The sequence below is a fragment of the Homo sapiens genome, chromosome X, assembly GCF_000001405.40.
Source record: "Homo sapiens chromosome X, GRCh38.p14 Primary Assembly".
Taxonomy (NCBI): domain Eukaryota; kingdom Metazoa; phylum Chordata; class Mammalia; order Primates; family Hominidae; genus Homo; species Homo sapiens.
Genome location: NC_000023.11, coordinates 136,038,251 through 136,048,054, shown reverse-complemented (window position 1 = coordinate 136,048,054; position 9,804 = coordinate 136,038,251). Strand labels below are relative to the sequence as shown.

At 39.6% G+C, this 9,804-nt stretch overlaps 1 protein-coding gene across 11 annotated transcripts in view; it reads right to left on the bottom strand.

The window, feature by feature from the left end:
* The window catches only part of SLC9A6 (solute carrier family 9 member A6), a 73,433-nt gene continuing 64,414 nt past the window's right edge, over positions 786–9,804 (bottom strand). For all 11 annotated transcript variants that reach the window (NM_001400909.1, NM_001400910.1, NM_001400911.1 and 8 more), the window contains 2 exons: positions 7,874–7,979; positions 786–3,603 (listed from right to left, as the gene is read on the bottom strand). In NM_001400909.1, the coding sequence (NP_001387838.1) occupies positions 3,331–3,603; positions 7,874–7,979 (379 nt within the window). In that variant the 3' untranslated portion in view covers positions 786–3,330. The remainder of the gene's footprint in view (positions 3,604–7,873; positions 7,980–9,804) is intronic.

The window sequence follows — 9,804 nt, the reverse complement described above, 5'->3', positions numbered from 1 at the left end:
TTCTCTGCACCTCAGTTTCATCTGTATACTGAGGATGATAGAATGTGCCCTCAATGCATGATTATAGATTTTAAAATGCCTTGTATACACATGACCAGTACCCAAGAAGGGCTCAAAAATGAGAACTATTATTATCATTTCCAATTTATTTTCAAGCCTCACACTACATCATCTGTGTGGCGTACGTCCTGTCGGGGACTCTCATCTCATTATACTCCTGCATTGGGTCAGGTTAACAACTGTACCTGCTCAGATCTAATGTAGGGTTTTGTGTAGGGAATTAGAAAACATGGGTTCCTTCAAGAAAAGAGCCTGTTGTGTGTGGACCATCCCCCACCAATGTCTCTCACTGGGCCATAAACAAGGAAGCTGGAGTGGATGACAAGAAAACACAACAGACAGTGTGGTTGGTGCCATTGCTGGACTAGACAAACTTGCAGTCAGCAGACTCTAGCCTATAAAACTTCTCATGCACAGAGAGACGTGTCTTTAACTTGGAAGGAGGACTATTTGTATTTGTGTGATCATGCTTTTAGCCAAACTTGGAACTGCCTTCCTACCTAACTGGATATACTTGGAACTGCCTTCCCACCTAACTGGATATAGAATTCTCTTTCCCCATACCAGCATTTTTATAACATTATCCATTACTAAGCTAACAGGCTACAAATCAATGTAATAGAATTTGACAGCTTTGAGTCATATTTCCTAAAGAGTCCAATTGTGACCATAAGCAAATACATCCACCCTTACACATAAGCACCAAAAATTTGCCAACCCATAAGTTAAGTTCTGTTAGGTTTCTGTTTGTTTATTTGAAAACATTAGTCTTCCCCTTTTCCACTAGGTATATAGGTAGAAAAATAAATGAAGTCAGCACTCTTTACGTCTCACTAAAATAAACTGTGACTCAAATACTGTGAGTGGTTATTTGCAAGGCTATAACTTTTTTAATGACAGATTTTCCTAAAAGAAACCACTATAACATCTGTCCAAGTACTCCAGAGAAAACAAAAAATACATAAAGATTAAAAGTCTATTACTTTAACAGCACATTGCCAAACACGGACAACTAGGATAAATGCCAAGAAACCTTAAAAAATAACTTTAAAAGATGCAACGTTCAAGCCATTCAAACGCGTAGGTTCCACAAACAACAGGAAAACAAGTCCAAGAGCAGTTCTACTTGTGCATGATGGTAACTCAGACTGTACTTCATCAAAGTTCATTCAGGTGTTTCATAGGCGTCTGAGCAGAGTTTGTTTTTTCTTCCTTGCTTGGAGATGTGTACACAGATTAGAGGAGAGGAAAGTCTTCCAGATGCTGATGTAAGCACAGCAGGCTTGGTTCCCCTTGATAAAGTATGAAGGCAGATTTAGTTGACTCAAGCTTTATCAGTTTCCCTAGTGAAAAGTCTTATGCATGCTGAAATAGACGAGTTACTGAATTTGTCATGCGAAGTATTTACATAAAGTGAGGTCAGTAACCCGACAGAATAAAAAAGGTAGTTGTTAAATTATTGTATAACCTTTTACAACTTGAATAACTTTGTGGGTAAGTGACACTGACGTTCAAACTCCTCAAACATACATTAACAAGAAACTATTTACTGCGTGAAGAGGCACACATCATGTAAAACATACACGTCATGGGAGGGATTCCTGCATAGCAGGAAAGTCGCTACCACTACATAACAAATGGCTATGCCAACAGTCAAAGCTGCCACGAAAGGGTACAACATTAGAATTCCCCTAAAATCTCAAGGAGTGTTTGCAATAGCACAGATAGATGCCTTTCGGAGAGTAAGTACATGTTTTGTTCAGAAGGGTATTTTTCACTGGAAAATCTGAACATCATGTAAATAAATCAATGTTCTAACTGGATAAGATTTAAGGCAATGCTACTCAGACCTGAGGGAAAAAAAATCCAAAAAAGTTTGTTTTTCTTCTGAATCATGAACAGGTCAAAATCAACATCAAAAAGCATTCTTCCAAGCATTCAATGCATCTTTAGGTATTATCAGCATTACAAAATAGAATCTACTTTCATACTCCAAATATGAAATGAGAAATTGTTCTGTGCTCTTCCTTGAGAACTGTAAAAAAAAAAATGCATGGCAGCTTAGGTAATTAATATTAAAACGTACCATGAAAATGAAGACTACTACACCTGCTGCACACAAAGGAGCCACCCTGCTGCAATCAGTGCTCCAGAATATTCGATTTCTCTTATGACTGACTTTGGTGCAGTGTGGAACGATCGTGGGTTCATAAATTAACTGTTGACATTAACTACAGACTAACAAATGATGATTAGACACAGTAAGTTCAAAAATTTTACATTTTGCTCCTGTTTGGCTGCTAAAGAGCAGCAATTTAAATCGATATAAAAACTTCTGACGACAAAGCCTGCTATACAGATAAAGTACATAATCAAAAATTAAGCAGCAATTAAATTTCTTATTTAAACTTATCTGGTATAGAATATTTACACATTTGGGAAGAGAGATCTCTGAAACCACCATTCTCTTTACTCGCCTCTTGCTCTCTGCCCACCCCAGCCCCTCCAAATCTAAATCAAGTGCCCTGAACTATATACACCTGTACTTTGGCTAAGCCGGCTAGATGTGACTCCTTCTACGGTCTTGGTCTGGAAGAAAAGACATAAAGTCTCAGAAGTCATTTGCAGCCTTCTTTTCTGAACAACAGTGTACTGTAGTCAATGAATCTGTGCTTTCACAGCAAGCGGGGGAAAAGGGTCCTCACACTTCACTCCCCAACCTGAATGGGGCAAGATCAAATGCCATCAGCTCGTTGCACCACAACAGGCCACCAGAGAAAAGGGAAAGAAAACGATCAGGACAAAGGCAGCAGCTATCAACAAAAGTTTCCCAACAAAGGAACCTCTCCTCCCTAGGTTCCCAAGGAAATAACACTCCCTCCTCACTCTCCCTCCCCTAGCACACAAAAAAATTAATTCACATCACGAGAACTGGTACTCTGGTTAAGTGTCAGGTAAGTTTAAGAAAGAGAAAATCCGTCACTTTTTACACTTTAACTGAGACATAAAACTAACAGAACACACAACATCACTGTGAAAGTAACTTCCTAAAACAGATCCAGTCTACAGAGTGCAACCAGGAAAACTTAAAGGAATATAGTTTGTTCACAATCTGCCGTGTACAGGATATTTATATTCTTTCTATGCCATATAAATAGCATTTATATAGCTTACACATTCAGAGACATGCACTGGGACTTTTAGGTAGTACAAATTTCTTCACAATCACATGTGCAAATTTTACAAATCACTAAGTGAGTATTAGTAAGCTTAGGCTGGACCATGTCTCGTATTATCTAACAAATTTAGCGGGGGTTCAGAATCATCCATTGGAAGAACCAGGCGTGTTCCTCGAATGACCAGTTCATGGTCCCCAAATGCAAGCTCCCGATCCAAGGCATCTTCAGAACTGTTTCCCATAAATCTCCTTGGGGCGCTGGATGTGGCCGGTTCAGTGTTCACAGTAGAATCTCCATATGTCAAACTGATGTCACCATCATTGAGAATAAGATCAGAATCATCATCTTTCAACTGTTCCTGGTTCTAAATGCAAATAAAGTAAGATTTAAGAATTTTTGAGAAGTTCAAGAGACATTTCCAATAGGAGTATTTTCGAGGATCCCCCATTAAAACCCTTAAGTGGTAGCCCACTGCCCTCAGGATAAAGTCTAAAGTCCATACCTTGGCTTAAAATACAGCGTGACTTGGCATCCTTAGTTCCTCTCCTGCTACAATCTGCCCCTCCCACACCAAAGGCCCCATTGTCTGCCAACCAGACTGAAGTGTGACAGCTGCCCAGACTCCTCGTGCTTTCTCTTACCTTCAGGTCCTTCTACATGACCCCTCTTTCCCTTCAAATGACTAACATCCTTTTATCACTTTTGCTCTGAAGTCTTCCTTGAGCTTCTAGGACTAGGTTAGCTGTCCTTCCTGTGTGCTTTCGTGGCATCCTATACTTGGCCCTCTCCCTGTAGTGGCACTTACCCTTGAGCTATAACTGTGTGTGTATCAATCTGCCCTCAAGAGGCTTAGAGTCTAGTGTGTGGCAGGAGCAGACCGATTCACATGTGGTGAAGACACAGGGTGAATGCTACGTAGTCCAACCACCTAATACAGTTTGGGGTACAGAGAAACATATCAAGCCCTCACTGCAGCTCCATAAGCTTTGGTTCTCATGGAAATATTACGACCAAAATAGTATACTTAAATAAGGTTCTACAAAAGGGAAAAGAATCAGGAATACATAGTCCCATATTGGCAAATAAAAAATGTGTGTATAGAAAAGTCTTTTCTTCTTTATGTTTCTGTATTATCTGAAATTTTATTATAATGAGTATATATTACTTTTAAAAAACAGAACAAGTCATTTTTTCTAAATGACTTTAAAGAGAAAGGATCATTCTAAATATTCACATTGATCTAGCATAAAACAGTCTGTCATTGATGCTCCTTGAGGGAAGTATATTCTCCAGCTTTCTAAATCCCATGTCTGTTTGAAAATTTTGAATTTGTCTAAGACCATCAAATAGACTGAGAAGACTATTAGACAAAATCTAAAAAGGAATTTAATCTGCTGTTGCTAGAAATTCCCCTAAATACTCAAAGACCAAAAAAAGTGTGAACTGAAAAATAAACGGCTGGGTATGGGTGGCACATGTCTATTGTCCTAGCTACTGGGGAGGCTAAGGCAGGAGGACTGCTTGAGCCCAGAAGTTTGAGGCCAACCTGGGCAACACAGCCAGAACCCATCTCAAAAACAAACAAACAAACTCATATCCACCAACCAGCCCAAATCCCTTCCTGTCTAATCTAGTTAGGACAGTAAGTCTATCTAACCAGTATCTATCACTTAATTCAGCAATACTCACAAGCTCTGTGGCTCCTTCACAGGTCCACAGGGGCTCTTCAGCACCTTCTAGTGTCTTTATTAAGTTTGAGGTTTGGGGCAATATCTATCAAATTTTAAAATGCACATGCCTTTTGACCCAGTGATTTTACCTTTAAAATCTATTCTATATACTTTTACATAGTTAGGTAAGTTTATATGTAAAAGAATATTCACTATAAGTATTGTTTATAATAGCAAAAAAGGAAATGACTGAAACATCTATCCATAAGAGACTGAATACATGAATTTTGCTACAGCTATGAAATGGAATAGGACGTAGCCATGAAAAGAGAAGGTAAGACATCTAACATACTCACATATAAAGGTATCCATGATGTGTCAGTAATTGAAAAAAAAAGCAAGTAATGGGACAATATGCCTATTATAATCCCATTTGTGTAAAACAATAACAAAGCCATATATACACATATTTATTTGCAATAAAATATATCAGGAAGTATCCACAGTGAGCCTATAATAAAGACTGCCTCGAGGACTGCAGGTAGGAGGAAGGCAACTTTGATTTTTCATTTTGTACATTCCATACTGTATGGATATTTGGCCATGAGCTTGCTAGTGTTATAACTAAAAAAAGCAGTTAACAAAGATAATATAAAAAATTACGTTTGGGCCAGGTGCAGTGGCTCATGCCTGTAATCCCAACACTTTGGGAGGCCAAGGTGAGTGGATCACTTGAGGTCAGGAGTTCAAGACCAGCCTGGCTGACATGGCGAAACCTCGTCTCTACTAAAAAATACAGAAAAATGAGCTGGGTGTGGTGGTGCACACCTGTAATCCCAGCTACTTGGGAGGCTGAGGCATAAGAATCGCTTGAACCTGAGAGGTAGAGGTTGCAGTGAGCCAAGATCGCGCCACTGCACTCCAGCCTGGGTGACAGAGTGAGACTCTGTCTAAAAAAAAAAAAAAAATTAAGTGTGATGGTTGTTATGGGTTAAATTGTGTCCCTCCCCAACCCCCCACCAAAAGATGTTGAAGTCCTAACCCCCAGCACCTGTGAATGTAACCTTGTTTGGAAATAGGGTCTTGTTTGGAAATAAGGTAGGCCCTGATTCAATATGACTGGTGTCCTTATGAATAGGAGAAATTTGGACACGGAAGTAGGCATGCACACAGGTAGAACCCCATGTGAAGATGAAAGTAGAGATACATAGTGATGCATCTGTAAGTCAAGGAAGGTCCAAGATAGCCAGGAAGCCACCAGGAGTTAGAAGAGAGGCCTGGAGCAGATTCTCCCTCACAGCCTAGAAGGAACTGACCCGGCCAACAACTTGACTTTGGATTTTAGCCTCCAGAAATAAGAGATGATAAGTTTCTATTGTTTAAGCCATTCGGTTTTGGTACTTTGTTACAGCTGCTCTAGGGAGCCTGTTGTGTTTCGCTACATTCCAAGGACACAGGTTTGTTGTGGACCTCTTCTGGCTTTTGGTGACAGCGAGTGGGTCTCTGGAATCCAAGAGCCAAGCTTCACTGCCTGAACCAACAGAGCTGGCTGACTTCTCTGCACAGTTATGTGGGTTAACAGGGCATGGTGGAAATGGAGACAATGTTTGAGAGGCGAGCCTGGGCAATGTGGAAGGGAGAGGAGGGGCAACATGGGGTGTGTGCCCCATCTCACAGGCACAGTCTGTCAGAAACATGCACTGACACGACATAACACAAAGCCGTAGGATGCTCCTCCCTGGCCCAGATGCCACCCCTACTCTGCCTACTCTCTCCTGTCCATTTCTTATACAATCTGGTTTCACATGAGGTTCACTCACAGGGAATGGGGGCACGGGGAGGGAGGTGTGTGTGGTGCATGTCTACACAGCTTCACTACAGCTTCCCCTCTCAAGGTTCTGCGTGTTGCACCTAAGTAGTCAAAACTGGTGGGCTTTGTTAACAGGGGAGCCTATATGATGTCATAGATTATTTCTGAAAGGTTTGTTTAGAATGGAAGGCTTTTTCTTTTTCTTTTTTTTTTCTTTTGATACAGAGTCTCACTCTGTCACCCAGGCTGGAGTGCAGTGGCATGATCTCTGCTCACAACCTCCACCTCCCCAATTCAAGCAATTCTCCTGCCTCAGCCTCCCGAGTAGTTGGGATTACAGGTGCACGCCACTGTGCCCAGCTAATTTTTGTAATTTTGGTAGAGACTGGGTTTCGCCATGTTGACCAGTCTGGTCTTGAACTCCTGACCTCAGGTGATCTGCCGCCTCGGCCTCCCAAAGTGCTGGGATTACAGGCATGAGCCACCACGCCTGGCCAGAATGGAAGGTTTTTAAAAAAGAACTTGAAAAATAAAAACGTGCACATTTAAAAACAAAGGTCAGCTAGGATTTCTGTTATTTTTTTCTTAGTAGCAATATTTATCAAATTACCAATCACATTTTGGTAGCTAAGGAAAAAATATGGAATTCAGATTCTATCTAGATATGCTCATGTGTCCCAGAAATGTGGAACAGAGGCAGATAGCTTTCCCAAACATCCAAAGGTTGGGAGGTGTGAAATAATAGACCATCTGTTGCACTTTAGGGATGTCAAAATTGTTTTAAAATCCTCAAAATGTAACTGAGACAACCCTCATTTGTGGAGGAAAGCATACACATTTAGTGCTGAGCTCAGGACACATACTGCAAAGAAATGAAAGCCAGCAGGGAAATAGAACTATTTACTAAAATCACCCACAGTAAGATGAGGCACGATTCTATATCTGTTTTCAAATGCTGTTTCAAAGGCTGTGAATTATATTTATAGGTTTCAGTGTATTTTCTGGTTGAGCAAAATATGCTTAAATTCCCTTTCATGGAATTTATACCTCAAAGGCAAAAAAACAAACCAAAATAAAATAAAACCAGTGACTCATCCACAGAGCAGATAAATTTAACTTACTGAAGAATTTAGTTTTGGATAAAACCAACTTACTTCGTAAGCCTGGGGGCTGGTGAGGCACCTGGCGATGGGTCCACAGCAGGCAGGGAGTGTTGTTGTCAGCGGAGGCCCGCTGTGGGTCAGCAGAGGCTTCAGATAGCTGCGGTGGTTAAGGAAGAGCTGTGGTCCTTTCTTTACAAATTTAAAAGAGCAACTCGTTTGATAATAATCACCATCATAGTATAGTAACCACTTCGGAGGACAGCAAAGGGCTTTCACATCTATGGTCTCATTTCCTCCTCACATGATGGCAGTGAAACAGCAAAGGGGTATTTTATCATCTCCACTTCACAGATATGGAAACTGAGGCTCAGAGAGGTCAATGACCTGCTTAAAGCTACACAATGAGGTAAATGGGGACCAATCTGCTAGCCCAAATTGGTCTGAATTTCAAATCTTGTGCCCTTTCCACTACATCACATTGCTTTTCTGATTTTACTAAAACCAAAAGGAACATCACTGTAAATTGGGCACTACAGGAGATAAGGGAGAAAGTAAACAATGTTAATGGCCAGAGAGGAAATTAAATTTTCCAGTAGAACATAGTAATAAAATGGTTTTCATCATTTATTGTGAATTCAGCTGGCCTCTTGCATGGTATAAGTTGAAACTTCAGTATCAGACTGACTGTTTACTTAGGAAGCTATAAGAAGGAAAGGCAAGTCAAATCTCAAGACATTTTAAAAAACTATGTATCATGAGGCCCTTTATCATAGGCCCTCATTTCAGTATTCATTTATTTGCCAAAAAATAAAAATAGACATGAGAATATATGACACTCAGAAGAAAAAAGAGGGAATCACAAGAAAAAGGAGAAAAGGATACAGACACACAAATTCCCCACTTTATTTATTTATTCATTTATTTTTTTTTTTTTTGAGACAGTGTCGCTCTGTCACCCAGGCTAGAGTGCAGTGGGTGATCATAGCAGGTACGTGCCACAATGCCCAACTAATTTTTTTTTATTTGATTTTTGCAAAGACAGGGTCTCGCTATGTTGCTAGGGCTGGTCTTGAACTGAGCCTGCCTCAAGCAATCCTCCCACCTCAGCCTCCCAAAGTGTTGGGTTTACAGGCATGAGCCTCCATGCCCTCCCTCCTCATTTTCTAAAATGAGACCCTAAGGTGGTTCTCAGTTAAAAATGAGAAAGTCAGAGAAAATTTCATGAATCCTCATATTAATAAATTCTAAGTAAAGATTAAAACACTGCATATAAACACGCTTTATAAAACATCTGGCCAAACACAAAGCTACTAAAAAACTGGAATGATGAATTCTAGCATTTTGAGTAAAGAAATGACCAGGTCTTCATCTTCTGGTACTGAATGGGTAGTACTGAGGCTAACAAGTCTTGATGTTTGACTCTACAAGAAAAAATTCCTTAGAAAAAAAAACTCGCCAGATGATGACAAATGGTTTTAAAAAAAGAAAAAAAAAAAGAAAAAAAAACCTAGATAGTCCTGTATTTATTAATGAAATTAAAAACTTTCTCCTACAGAAAGCTCCAGGCTCAAATGGCTTCACTGGTAAAACTTTCCTAACATTAAAAAAAAATAATAATAACACTAATCTTATCACTCCTTCAGAGAACAGAAAATGAGGGAATACTTCCTGATTCATTTTATGAGGCCAGCTTAATCTTGTTATAGAAACCTGACAAGGACACTATAAGAAAAAATCACAAGCCAATATTGTTCATAAAAATAGACACAAAAATCAGATGCAAAATATTAGCAAATTAAATCCAGAGATATACACAAAGGATAACACATCATGACCAAGTGGAATTTGTTCCAGCAATGCAAGACTAGTTTAACATTCAAACAATCAATCAATGAAAATCAAAATAACAGATTAAAGAAGAAAAATATAAACACATGATCATCTCGATGCAGAAAAAGCATCTGATACTAAAAATTCTCAGC